The 13,734-nt window shown below is 48.3% G+C and overlaps 1 pseudogene across 1 annotated transcript in view, besides 5 other annotated features; it reads right to left on the reverse strand.

Annotated features, from left to right (window-relative positions):
* Positions 1–13,274, reverse strand: part of PDPR2P (pyruvate dehydrogenase phosphatase regulatory subunit 2, pseudogene) — a 35,850-nt pseudogene extending 22,576 nt beyond the window's left edge. The window contains exons 1-2 of the transcript NR_026950.1: positions 13,084–13,274; positions 5,652–5,910 (exon numbers count right to left, since the gene is read on the reverse strand). The product of NR_026950.1 is annotated as a pyruvate dehydrogenase phosphatase regulatory subunit 2, pseudogene (transcript). The remainder of the gene's footprint in view (positions 1–5,651; positions 5,911–13,083) is intronic.
* Positions 1,792–2,293: an enhancer, noted in NCBI's record as "H3K4me1 hESC enhancer chr16:74390671-74391172 (GRCh37/hg19 assembly coordinates)". NCBI's record gives its function as "activates a minimal SCP1, AML or CMV promoter by ChIP-STARR-seq in naive H9 embryonic stem cells {active_cell/tissue: H9 hESC(naive)}" and the evidence as "EXISTENCE:reporter gene assay evidence [ECO:0000049][PMID:30033119]".
* Positions 13,165–13,454: a silencer, noted in NCBI's record as "silent region_7696". NCBI's record gives its function as "represses an Ori minimal core promoter by ATAC-STARR-seq in GM12878 lymphoblastoid cells {active_cell/tissue: GM12878}" and the evidence as "EXISTENCE:reporter gene assay evidence [ECO:0000049][PMID:35858748]".
* Positions 13,165–13,484: a biological region, named in NCBI's record as "ReSE screen-validated silencer GRCh37_chr16:74402112-74402363".
* Positions 13,233–13,484: a silencer, noted in NCBI's record as "fragment chr16:74402112-74402363 (GRCh37/hg19 assembly coordinates)". NCBI's record gives its function as "represses an EF-1alpha promoter that drives an FKBP-Casp9 reporter gene in an ReSE screen in HepG2 liver carcinoma cells {active_cell/tissue: HepG2}" and the evidence as "EXISTENCE:reporter gene assay evidence [ECO:0000049][PMID:32094911]".
* Positions 13,515–13,564: an enhancer, noted in NCBI's record as "active region_11107". NCBI's record gives its function as "activates an Ori minimal core promoter by ATAC-STARR-seq in GM12878 lymphoblastoid cells {active_cell/tissue: GM12878}" and the evidence as "EXISTENCE:reporter gene assay evidence [ECO:0000049][PMID:35858748]".

A 13,734-nucleotide genomic window follows, 5' to 3' on the forward strand; every position in this document is an offset into this window, starting at 1 on the left:
ATTATGCAGCTATAAAAAAGAATGAAAAGGTCTTTATGTACCAATATGGAACAATCATAATGAAAAAGTAAGGTGAAGAACAGTGTGTAAGGTATGCTCCCACTTATATAAAAAAGGGAAAAAATATAATAAATGAATACCCATACACATATACACAAACCTACCAACACATAATTGCTTATAGAAGTAGAGAATATAACTAGAACTTAACTTCCCTCCAGAGAGGAAAGCTTTTTGTTAGAAGTGAAGATTGAGGGCTGGGTGCAGTGGCTCACATCTATAATCCCAGCACTTTGGGAGGCTGAGGCAGGCAGATCACTTGAGGTCAGGCGTTCGAGACCAGCCTGGCCAACATGGCGAAACCCCATCTCTACTAAAAACACAAAAATCAGCTGGGCATGGTGGCAGGCGTCTGTAATCCCAGCTATTCAGAAGGCTGAGGCAGGAGGATCGCCTGAACCCAGGAGGCAGAGGTTGCAGGAGTTGAGGCTGCACCACTGCACTTCAGCCTCGGTGACAGAACAAGACTCCATCTTAAAAAAAAAAAAAAAAAAAAGAAAAGGAAAGAACATTGAGGAGTCTTTTTCCTGTATACTCTTTTACATATATATATGTGTATGTGTGTGTGTGTGTGTGTGTGTGTGTGTGTGTGTGGTGTGTGTATATATGTGTATGTGTATATATATACATGTGTGTATATATATATGTGTATATATATATATATGTTTGTGTATATATATATGTGTGTGTGTATATATATATATATATATATTTTTTTTTTTTTTTTTAGACGCAGTTTCACTCGTCACCCAGGCTGGAGTGCAATGGCACAATCTCGGCTTACTGCAACCTCTGCCTCCTGGGTTCAAGCTATTCTCCTGCCTCAGTCTCCCGAGTAGCAGGGATTACAGGTGTGTGCCACCATGCCCAGCTAATTTTTGTGTTTTTTTTTTTGTTTTTTGTTTTTTTAGAGACGGAGTTTTGCTCATCACTCAGATTGGAGTGCAATGGCACAATCTCGGCTCACCGCAACCTCCACCTCCCAGGTTCAAGCAATTCTCTTGCCTCAACCTCCCAAGTAGCTAGGATTACAGGTGTACACCACCATGCCTGGCTAAATTTGTATTTTTAGCAGAGATGGGGTTTTGCCATGTTGGCCAGGCTGGTTTCGAATTCCTGACCTTAGATGATCCACCCGCCTCAGCCTCCCAAAGTGCTGGGATTACAGGCATAAGCCACTGCACCCAGCTTCTTTTACATATTTTCAATTTTGAATCATATAAATACATTGCCTATTCAAAAGTACATAAACTTTACATTGAAAAAAATGTTCTCTAATTTGTGGTAGCAACAGAATATAAAGGCTACAGTAATGCTAGGGCCCAAAGACCCAGTTTTGCAAGGGACCCATATGTGAAGAAAGCAGGTGGGGGGGTTCTAAGGTCATTTTCCCCAAATTATTTATCACTCAGTAAATAAACTAACATCTGTGTCAGCATGCCTGTCACTTGAGTTTACTGTATTTACTCTAATAATTATATTTTCCACATAAGATTGTCAGCTCCCTAAAGAGATTTTTCTATCATCTTTGTAACTGTGTGGAGCTCCACCCCAGGTGGGAGTTCCATTAACTGGCTGGTGGTCAGCACCTATAGCTCTGGTGACGTCTCTGCTGGGATAGCACTCCTTGAGCAGCTTTGACAGTGGCTCTCGCCCTTGGAGGTACATCAGAGTCCCCCGGGAAGCTTTTAAAAATACTGATGCCTGGCCTCACCCCTAGAGATTCTCGTTTGTTCTGGGGAGAGATCTGGGCACTGGTAATTGTTAAAAGCTCCCCAGCTGATTCTAATGTGCAGACAGATTTAAGACCCATTGATCTATGAGAACAATAGTGAAGATAGAGAAGAGGAATAATTATAGATAAAGGGCAGTATAAAACCATTTCACAAGCCACGGATAAGGCATAAGAATAACTTTTATTTTTTGAGACAGTCTCACTCTGTTGCCCAGGCTGGAGGGCAGTGGCACAAACTTGGCTCACTACAATCTCCGCCTCCCAGGTTCAAGCAATTCTCCTGCCTCAGCCTCCTGAGTAGCTACAATTACAGGCTCATACCACCACACCCAGCTAATTTTTGCATTTTTAGTAGAGACGGGGTTTCGCCATGTTGGGCAGGCTGGTCTTGAACTCCTGACCTCAGGTGATCCACCCACCTTGGCCTCCCAAAGTCGTGGGATAACAGGCATGAGCCACTGCACTTGGCCGAGCCATAATTTTTTTTTTTTTTGAGACTGAGTCTTGGTCTGTTGCCCAGGCTGGGGTGCAATGGCGCGATCTTGGCTCACTGCATCCTCCGCCTCCTGGATTCAAGCGATTTTCCTACCTCAGCCTCCCGAGTAGCTGAGATTAACAGATGCGCATAACCACTCCCGGTTAATTTCTGTATTTTTAGTAGAGACGGCGTTTCACCATGTTGGCCAAGCTGGTCTCAAACTCCTGATCTCTGGTGATCCACTCGCCTTGGCCTCCCAAAGTGCTGGGATTACAGGCGTGAGCGATCGTGCCTGGCTGGCATAATTATTTTTAAGTGTGAGGTTTAAATAGTCTGCCTTATATCAATTCTAAGGTATTATATAATCTTGAAGCAACAAATTAAACCACAAATGAACCTCCCTAGGTTCTCCCACTTAGAAACATTTACACTGAGATTAGTTTATCACTTTTTGTGGAAATACCTGATAATTAAATTTAAAAGGATTTCAAAAAATAGGAGAACGACTTTGACATCAAGGAAGCATTATGAGGCCAAGTGCAGTGGCCCACACCTGTAACCCCAGCACTTTGGGAGGTTGAGGTGGTCCGATCACTTGAGCCCAGGAGTTTGAGGCCAGCCTGGACAACAAGGTGAAATCACGTCTCTACCAAAAAAACAAAAAATTAGCCAGGCATGGTAGTGCATGCCTGTAGTCCCAGCTACTCAGGAGGCTGTGGTGGGAGGATCACTTGAGCCCAGGAGGCAGAGGTTGTAGTGAGCTGAGATTGAACCACTGCACTCCAGCCTGAGTGACAGCGTGAGACCCTGTCTCAAAAACATTAACAAAAACAAAACCCACTTTTGCTCTTAAAAGTATCCACTGCAGGCCAGGCACGGTGGCTCATGCCTGTAATCCCAGCACTTTGGGAGGCTGAGGCGGGTGGATCAGCTGAGGTCAGGAGTTCAAGACCTGCCTGGCCAACATGGTGAAACCCCATCTATACTAAAAATACAAGAATTAGCCAGGTGTGGTGGCATGCAACTATTAATCCCAGCTACTTGGGAGCCTGGGGCAGGAGAATCACTGGAATCCGGGAGGCACAGGTTGCAGTGAGCTGAGATCACGTCACCGCACTCCAGCCTGGGTGACAAAGCAAGACTCTGTCTCAAAAAAAAAAAACTATCCACTGCATAAAATAGAAATCCATGAGTCTAAACTGGGGTGTGTGTGTGTGTGTGTGTGTGTGTATACAGATATATAACTGAGTAAATAAATGGGGGAGAAGGAAATCTCTTCCTGACAGTAATATGCCAACTATAATAAATGTAGAAGTATAATCAAAAAATCACCATTTGTCAACCATCATGGTGGTGGCTGACTCAGGCAACAGTTGTCAACGGATGCTAAGCCCGGTAGGTGGAGGTCTGATATGAACAGGATATTGGCATAATCTCAGAATCCATCTCTCCTCAAAGGGCACTGGCCAGTTACAAGGGGAGAAAACAGGGTCTCTGTGCTAGAGATGCTTGGAGGACACCAATGTAACTGGGTGACCAGGGTTATCACCACCAGAAGTGAGACAGGACAGCCATACACCTCCTGATGTGGTGCACTGCTGAGAGTCCAGCCTAATTTCTGTGGTCTTACTGCCAAAAATGTATGACCTGGTTATGATGATGGATGCACAACTCTGTACAAACAGATTTCAGCACTTAACAAGGATGAGTGGCATGGTATGCAAATTGTATCTCAATACAGTGATGGTTATAAAAGTCTCTAACCCAAGTCTGATCATAAGACAACAGCCTAGGCCAGGTGTGGTGGCTCATGCCTGTAATCCCAGTACTTTGGGAGGCCAAGGTGGGTGGATCACCTGAGGTCAGGAGTCCAAGACCAGCCTGGCTAACACGGTGAAATCCTGTCTCTACTAAAAAAACAGAAATTAGCTGGGCATGGTGGTGGGTGCCTGTAATCCCAGCTACTTGGGAGGCTGAGGCAGGAGAATTGCTTGAACCCAGGAGGCGGAGGTTGCAGTGAGCGGAAATTGCACCACTGCACTCCAGCCTGGGTGACAGAGAGAGACTCCATTTCAAAAAAAAAAAAAAAAAAAGAAAGAAAAGAAAACATCCTAGGCAACACAGGGAGATCCCATCTCTACAGAAAAATACAACAATCAGCCAGATGTGATGGTGCATGTCAGTAGTCCCAGCTACTTGGGAGGCTATGGCAGAAGGACTGCTTGAATCCACGAGGTCAAGGCTACAGTCAGCTGTGATAGTGTGACTGCACTCCAGCTTGGGTGACACAGCAAGACCCCATCTTAAAAAAAAAAAAAAAGAGAAGAAGAAAACATTAGCTAAACACAGGCTGAGAATTATCAGAGTGAAAGGCCTGTATTCTTTTTTTTTTTTTTTTTTGAGACAGTCTTGCTGTGTCACCCAGGCTAGCGTGCAGTGGCATGATCTCCACTCACTGCCACCTCCGCCTCACAGATTCAAGCGATTCTCCTGCCTCAGCCTGCCGAGTAGCTGGGATTACAGGTGCACACCACCACGCCCAGCTAATTTTTGTATGTTTAGCAGAGACAGGTTTTCACCATGTTGGCCAGGCTGGTATCGAACTCCTGACCTGAGGTGATCTGCCCACCTCAGCCTCCCAGAGTGCTGGGATTACAGGTGTGAGCCACCATGCCCGGCCAATATTGTTGTATGAATCTAACATTACTTGTATAGTGGTATAATATTAATTAATGATGGATTATAAGAATCCATTCTGTAATCTCTGTAACTATTACAAATTAATATAAAGGGACTTAGCTTACAAGCCAATAGAGCAGAAAATACTTGACCTAAAAGAAGGTGAGCACAGAGAAACTAAGCCTATAGAGCATATTTCTCTTGGAGAATGAGAACAATATTAAGAACCTAGCAATTAAGCAAACACAAGCAGTTGTCTGCTTTGCTTAAATGCAGTCCACATTATTTACAAACACAAATTTTTGTCAAAGTCTAAAATGTTGCTGGGTACAGTGGGTCATGCCTGTAGTCCCAGCACTTTGGGAGGCCAAGGTGGGAGGACTGCTTGAGGCCAGGAATTCAAGCTCAGCCTGGGTAAGAAAGCGAGATCCTGTCTACCAAAACACCACCACCAAAAAAAAAAAAAAAAAAAAAAAAAAAAAAAGGAAAACGACGAAATTTGCCAACTCTCTAAAAACCAGAGAACATGAGCATTATTAGTCATCCTTAAACAAAATTCAGGAGATTCCACCTTGCTTCTTCTCATGCTACTTAGCAACATTTAGATTAGCTACTGGTGGGGCAGTATCTCTGAAAGGAGAGGGAATCTGATACGATTAGTGCAGCACAGCCATGAGCCAAATGCAGTCTGATCCTTACCTGCCCTGCTCCAAAAGGACAATATCCTTCCACCCCATTTTGGATTGGTGATGGGCCACAGAAGTGCCCGTGATTCCACCTCCACAGACGACCACCTGTGCCTGGGTGGGCAGGGCCATGGAACGCGCCTCGGCAGCTGATGCGCTGTTTCTTGCAGAGGACCAGTTCTGCCATCCTGGGCTGGCTCTTTGTCTTCCAACAATCGACAGCAACCAGTAGAACATCATGTCTCTCACCAACTAGATCTCAGGAACTCAAACTAGACAGAGAAACCAAACATATTTCATGCCATTCAACTCAGTGCATGGGATTAATGAGAAAGGGATTTGACAAAGAACGATAGCCATTCATTCAGCAAATATTTGAGGGTGGCCGGGCGCGGTGCCTCACACCTGTAATCCCAGCACTCTGGGAGGCCGAGGCGGGCGGATCACGAGGTCAGGAGATCGAGACCATCCTGGCTAACACAGTGAAACCCCGTCTCTACTAAAAACACAAAAAATTAGGCTGGGCGCAGTGGCTCACATCTATAATCCCAGCACTTTGGGAGGCCGCGGCGAGTGGATAACGAGGTCAGGTGTTCGAGACCAGCCTGACCAACATGGTGAAACCCTGTCTCTACTAAAAATACAAAAATTAGCTGGGCATGGTGGCGGGTGCCTGTAATCCCAGCTACTCAGGAGGCTGAGGCAGGAGAATTGCTTGAACCCGGGAGGCGGAGGTTGCAGTGAGCAGAGATCGCGCCACCGCACTCCAGCCTGGGCGACAGAGCGAGACTCCGTCTCAAAAAACAAAAACAAAAACAAAAAAAGAAATATTTGAGGGCATTCTGAGTTTCAGATATTCTGCTAGCAGTGAACAAGAATGGGGAAGTCCCTGTCTTTATGAAATTTACATTTGAGAGTTTGCGTGTGTGAATGAGGAGAGCACCAATCAATATACAAGTAAACATACAAATAAAACAGTAAATAAAGCTAATGTGATAGAGTAACTAGGGGCATATTTAAAACAGGATGGTCAGAAACAGCCTCCAAGGAAGTGACATTTGGAAACAGACCTGAAGGATAAGGAACGAGCTATACATTTGGCAGACACTGAGACGAGCATGTGCAAAAGCCCTGAGGTAAGACAGACCAAGAACAAAAAGGAGGCCGGCATGTACACGACACGGGGAGTGTGGGGAGATGATCTAAGACAATGCTGGAGAGGCAGGCGGAAGCCAGTTACACACAGCCCTTGGGTGCCATCAGCAGGAGTTGGAATTTTATTCAAAGTACAAAGGAAAATCACTCATGCGGGAGTATCACTAGCAGGGGAATGAAATGATCTGGGATGTTTTTCTTTTCTTTGTTTTTTTTGGCGGTGAGGGGTGGGGGGATGTTTTCCAAAGGTCAGTCTGGCTCCATGGTGGAGAGCGGATGGTAGAATTATAAAAACAGAGTCGACTTCCTAGGCTCAAGTGATCCTCCCACCTTGGTCTCCCAAAGTGCTGAGATTACAGGCATGAACCACTGCCCTTGGACAAGGCAGGGTTTTAACAAACTTAATCTATCAGCAAAACAGATGACTGTTCAAGTTTCAAGAAACTGAAGAAGAAAGCACCTACTGGCTGTCCATGCAGTCATGTGTACAGGAGGATGAGGACTTTGAGACGAGAGGCGGTAGACAAGGGGGCCTCAGGGCAGCTCACTGCTAGTCATCTCCTTACCGCCTCCACTGCCAGCCACAGGACCCACAGATGCTCCACAGTCAGCCCAAATTGTCCAAGGCCAAGGTATCTATGTCCATCCATCAGAATTGCAACCAATGCAAGCACAGACTATGTCCAGACAGACATCCCATCCAACTGGAGACAAATTGTCTTGGCCACCTTGTGGTTGCCACCATGCCTCTCATCCCTGGTCCCTGTTAAGCACCATCTCAAAACAGAAGCTTCTCTACCCGGCTAGTCTTTACATAATCTCATCTCTACGTGACCAATTTATTTCCCGTGGCCCAAGCTCTCTTTGCTTTCCTCTCCTTCAAGCTCCTCTACTGCACCCTCTAGAATACCTTTCCCAAAGGTAAACACCCACCCCTTTGCTGACATCCTCTCTACCCTCTGTCCCAATGGCAACACAGCTCTCCTGGGGAACTGCTGCTGCCAAATGGCCAGCCCCATCCCATTGACCTCACTGTCAACCTCCTGGCTTCTGACCCGTGACCACTCGGTTATACTTGAAAACTGTCCTGCTCCTTGGTGGCTTAGGCTAGCACATGTTAAGCCACAGGTAGACCTCTGTCTGTATTCAGGTTCAGAGCCCAGCTATTCCTCTCTCAACCTTCAACTTCACCTCCTTTCTTCCCTCATTCTAAGCAGATAACCTGGCTCATCTCATTCCCTGAAACCCTTCCTATAGACCCACTTACATCTGCAACCATCTCTTCCTTCTTTTATCCACTGGAAAGTTAATCTCCCCCAAGGGCCCTGGATCCCACTTCCTCCTCTCTTCTCTTGACCCTAGCTCCATCAACTGCTGTCTCTCTTTCCTGTACCTGCAATGTTTCCCTCCGTTTTTGCTCCTTTTCCTCAGCAATTTTTTTTTTTTTGAGACGGAGTCTCGCTCTGTCGCCCAGTTGGGAGTGCAGCGGTGTGATCTCGGCTCACTGCAACCTCTACATTCCAGGTTCAAGCAATTCTCCTGCCTCGGCCTCCTGAACAGCTGGCACTATAAGTACGCGCCACCACGCCCAGCTACTTTTTGTATTTTTAGTAGAGATAGGGTTTCGCCATGTTAATTAGGCTGGTTTTGAACTCCTCACCTCGGGTGATCCACTGGCCTTGGCCTCCCAAAGTGCTGGGATTACAGGTGTAAGCCACCACACCCACCTTAATGACTTTCTGATGCCCTCAGGAAAAAGGCAAAACTCTTTTCATATCAAGTGCAAGATCCTTCACAGTCTGGTTCTTATCTGTGGTCTCATTTCTCCTTTCCTCACACTCTGACCAAGCCAGACTGAACAACCTGTAATTCGTCAAACATATCAGGTGAGGTGTGAATGTTCTATTCGGCTCCAGGTTCTGTGCATGCTGTTCCCTCCTGGCAGGTTCCTGCCACCCCTCCCGCAAATACAGGTAATCTCCTCAGGTCACAGCCTCTTTGACATCTTATTTATTTATTTTTTTTGAGATGGAGTCTCGCTCTGTCGCCCACGCTGGAGTGCAGTGGTGCGATCTCAGCTCACTGCAAGCTCTGCCTCCTGGATTGATGCCATTCTCCTGCCTCAGCCTCCTGAGTAGCTGGGACTACAGGCACCCGCCACCATGCCTGGCTAATTTTTTTTTTTAATTTTTAGGAGAGACGGGGTTTCACCATGTTAGCCAGGATGGTCTCAATCTCCCGACCTCGTGATCCGCCTGCCTTGGCCTCCCAAAGTGCTGGGATTACAGGTATGAGCCACCGTGCCCAGCCCTGTCTTTGACATCTTATCTGACAATCTCCCCCTCCTTCTCCAACACTTGGTTAGGTGGCTTTTCTATGTTCTCCTATAACACACTACACTTCTCCCAGCACAGAACTTACCACACTGCACAATGGTCTGTTTGCCAATCAGAGAAGCAACATGCCAGCATGGCAGGGAATCCAGGCTTTGGGGGCGGACAGTTCTGGGTTTGAAAATATCCCCACCTCTCACTAGCTGTATGACTATCAGCAAGTTACTAAATCTCTAGGCTTTGAACTCCTCATCTGTAACACGGGCTAGAAACACCTACCTCACATGGTTGCTGCAAAGACTAAATCAGACAAGGCAGGAAGAACATGGTACAAGCACCTAAGAAGCACTCAGTAAGTGGTAGTTATTTTTTATTATTTTTTGAGACGAGGTCTGTCATGCAGGCTGGAGTACAGCGGCATGATCATGGCTCACTGCAGTCTCAACCACCCAGACTCAAGCGATCCTCCCACCTCAGCCTCCAGAGTAGCTGGGACCACAGATGTGTACCATCACACTCAGCTAATTTTAAAATTATGAATATTTGTAGAGGTGAGGTCTCACTACGTTGCCCAGGATGGTCTCGAGCTCCTGACCTCAAGTGATCTGCCCACATTGGCCTCCCAAAGTGCTGGAATTACAGGCTAAGCCACCACACCCGGCCTATTATTTCCCTATTATAATGGAACTAAGAGCAGAAACCTTATAAATTGCTCAATTTTCCCAGCGTTCAGCATAGGTACCTAGGAAATATATGTTGATGCATGAATGAGAACAGAGAACAAAGAAGATGGGGGGAAAAAATCAAAGGTAGGACCCCCAGATTTGAGGAGATATCTAAATACCTGAGAGAATTATTTTTATTTTTATTTATTGTGAAACAGAGTCTCACTCTGTCGCCCAGGCTGAAGTGCAGAGGCGTGATCTCAGCTCACTGCAACCTCTGCCTTCCAGGTTCAAGTGTTTCTCCCGCCTCAGCCTCCCGAGTAGCTGGGATTACAGGCGCACGCCACTGTGCCCGACTAATTTTTTGTATTTTTAGTAGAGATGGAGTTTCACCATGTTGGCCAGGCTGGTCTCGAACTCCTGACCTCAGGTGATCCACCCACCTTGGCCTCCCAAAGTGCTGGGATTACAGGCATGAGCCACTGTGACCGGCCAATAATTTTTAAAGCTAATATTTTTATAAGTAGTTACAATGCACCAGATACTGCCTATGTATATAACTAATTTAATCCTCACAACCTTATGAGGTAGATACTAGCATTTCTATTCTACACTTGAGGAAACAGGCACAGATAAGTGGAAGTGACTCACCCAAGGTCCTACCAAACTGTTGAGTAGCAGAACCCTGCCAATTTGGCATTAGTGGCCGGCTATTTAATCATGACTCCACGCTACCTTTCAAATAAAAGCAGATGGTAAGGAAAGGACAGCTGTGAGGACTGAACCATTAAGCACATTCCCCTAACAGAGAAAGGGAATTGCAAAGGTGGCAGAACAAACACAGTAACAGATGAGTTTTAAGGAGGAATTAAAAAAAAACTTTAGGCCGGGCGCCATGTCTCACGCCTGTAATCTCAGCACTTTGGGAGGCCGAGGCGGGTAGATCATTTGAGGTCGGAAATTGGAGACCAGCCTGGCAAACATGGTGAAACTCCGTCTCTACCAAAGATACAAAAAATTAGCTGGGTGTGGTGGCACGCACCTGTGGTCCCAGGTACTCATGGTGCGGCCACCATTGCATCTTGGGCCTCACTAACCAGTTCCCGTTTGTTGGATTCAATACTGTCTCACCACACAGGCCAATCTTGTGTTTTATTAATTTTTTAAATTTTTTTTTTTTTTTTTGTAGAGATGGGCTCACTATGTTGCCCAGGCTGGTCCTGAACTCCTGAGGTAGGAGGATCGCTTGAGCCTGGGAGACAGAGGTTGCAGTGAGCCGAGATTATGCTACTGCACTCCTGCCTGGGTGACACAGTGAGACTCTGTCTTAAACAAAACAAAACAAAAAAAGGCCAGGCGCAGGGGCTCACACCTGTAATCCTAGCACTTTGGGAGGCCAAGGTGGGTGGATCATTTGAGGTCAGGAGTTTGAGACCAGCCTGATCAGCATGGTGAAACCCCGTCTCTACTAAAAACAGAAAAATTAGCCAGGTGTCGTGGCTTGCACCTGTAGTCCCAGCTACTCAGGAGGCTGAGACAGGAAAATTGCTTCAACCAGGGAGATGGAGGCTGCAGTGCGCAGAGTCGCGCCACTGCCTGGGTGACACAGTGAGACTCCATCTCAAAAAAGCCCAGGGTGCTTGGCGCCAAAAAAGGGATCTCTGACCTTGTGTTCATTATGACCTTCAAAAGAGTGAAGTGGTGAGGGCATGAGGGCAGAGGAAAAGAAGGGCTTAAGACAACGAAGGAAAAGAAGGCACCAGAGTCTAGTGCCTTTGCCGCCAAACCTAAGCCTATAAGGTTGGCAGCAAAACCAAAGCACAAACTGATAGCAAAGGAGGTAAAGCCAGGGGAGAAGAAACTGAAGACGTCAAAGACAGAAATGAAGCACATCATCTGGTTTAAAACAAATGATAGAGTTTTTACAGTTCTGGAAAATGACCGTATAATATTCTCTGCTAAGAAGAATAACTTCTGCTAAACAACCATAAGACTGCAGCTGGCTCTACTCAGATCTGCTTATTCCAACAAGACCAAGGTGCTAGTTCTAACTTCGAGTAGTCCCTCTGTATGGCTGCAGCGTTGCGCACAGTGGACTGCCGGTCACAAGGAAGACTGGATGAGCGTGGGTTCACACATTTCCCACACTTGCCTCAGCAAAAGAACCACCTGGGACACTTGTTTAAAAATGACAGATTCCCACGGTCCACCTCGGCAGATTCTGATCCTGCCACGCCAGGGAGCTGTATTTTTCAACAAGTACACCAGGTGATCACGCAAGTTTAAGAAATTAGCACAAGTTGGCCGGGCGCAGTGGCTCACGCCTGTAATCCCAGCACTTTGGGAGGCTGAGGCGGGCGAATCACGAGGTCAGGAGTTCCAGACCAGCCTGGCCAACATAGTGAAACCCCGTCTCTACTAAAAACACAAAAATTAGCCGGGCGTGGTGGCGCACACCTGTATTCCCAGCTACTTGGGAGGCTGAGGCAGGAGAATTGCTTGAACCCAGGAGGCAGAGGTTGCAGTGAGCCGAGATCGCGCCACTGCACTCCCGCCTGGGCGACAGAGTGAGACTCCGTCTCGGAAAAAAGAAAAAAAAAGAAAAAAGAAAAAAGAAATTAACACAAGTCCCTGCCACTGGAAACGCATATCCGTTGGGCTGGCTCCTCCTCCACCACCAGCCCCCATCCCGGTACATCACGTTTACATGCATGCGGAAAATGGGCTTGGAGATTCTTGATTCAAATCCGAGGTATCACACATCGGCCCCCAAAGGTCAAACATTAAGAAGGAAGCTTACTGCCCTGTCCCAGACTTTTCTAGGTGACTTCTTCCTCCGGACTCTGCAGCAGTCTTACTAGTTCTGAAAGCACAAGCGGACCGCACGTCTCAACGCGGGAAAACAGTTCCATCTGCAGGGATGGAGGACCGGGCTAGACAAGCTGGAGTTGGCTCTGCGCCGCAGGGGTGTGCAAGCCCAAGACTGGGGAGCCCGAGGTCACCCCGGCCGCCCTGGCATCGGGGCTGAGGTGCAGGCTCCTGGAGGAGCGGTGCGCAGGCCCAGGGGTAGCCGAGGACACAAGCCAAGGCACGAGCGGACAACCTTACGGGGACGAGTACTACCGCCCGGACGCGACTTCGCGAGAGGCCAGGCGGAACCCACTGGAAGCGTGAGCTAGCGGGGACCACCCCCGGGCGAAACCAAAGGAGAAAGAGGGGAACCCAGGGGTCCCGGGGCGCTTAGGCCCGCGCGGACGGGGAGGCCAGAGTTGCCCCGAAGCTATCTCCTTACCTCACCGGCCCCCACGGGCTCCGCGCTCAGCTACAGCCCGGCGGGAGCAATGCGGCAGCCACAACAGTTGCCGGCGGTCGCCGCGGGCCGGAAAGCGGGGTTCGGGGATGGGAAGGGGGCGGGGCGAAGCGAGCAAAAAGTTCCGGGGAAGCCGAGACCGCGACCTTCCGCGCTTTACGGCCCCCGGGCACGGGTACCGCCGGCGCGTGACCTCAGCCGCGCCCGAGCGCGCCGTGACGCCCTCGCGGAGCCCCGCCCCTGCCACGTGGGCTTGTTTGGGTCTCGCGAGGCACCGCCCCCGCGGCCTCTTTGCCACCCTCAGAGGCGAGCTGTGGAAGCCTTGACTCTTAGGGCCGTTTTAGAACCCGGGCCTCGGACCGGCGGGGTTTCTGCACGTGGAACCGGAACATCTGAGATGATCGCAGGCCCTGTGGAGTGTGGGGAGCGCGGGGGTTCTTTCTTCCCTCGAGGCCCGTGCCAGGGCTTACTCCAAAGCCAGTGGGTCCCCAGTCCTAAGCCAAGCAGTCCCGGGGGAAAACGCTTCTCATCGCCGTGGGAGCGCGGATCTTGGAAGTGGCTCTGGGCTTTCTTGGGCGAGGCTCTCACAGAGTAGATCGGAAATCCATTCTGCTGGCCCGCCCCACCTCGGAG

The sequence above is a fragment of the Homo sapiens genome, chromosome 16, assembly GCF_000001405.40.
Source record: "Homo sapiens chromosome 16, GRCh38.p14 Primary Assembly".
Lineage (NCBI taxonomy): Eukaryota > Metazoa > Chordata > Mammalia > Primates > Hominidae > Homo > Homo sapiens.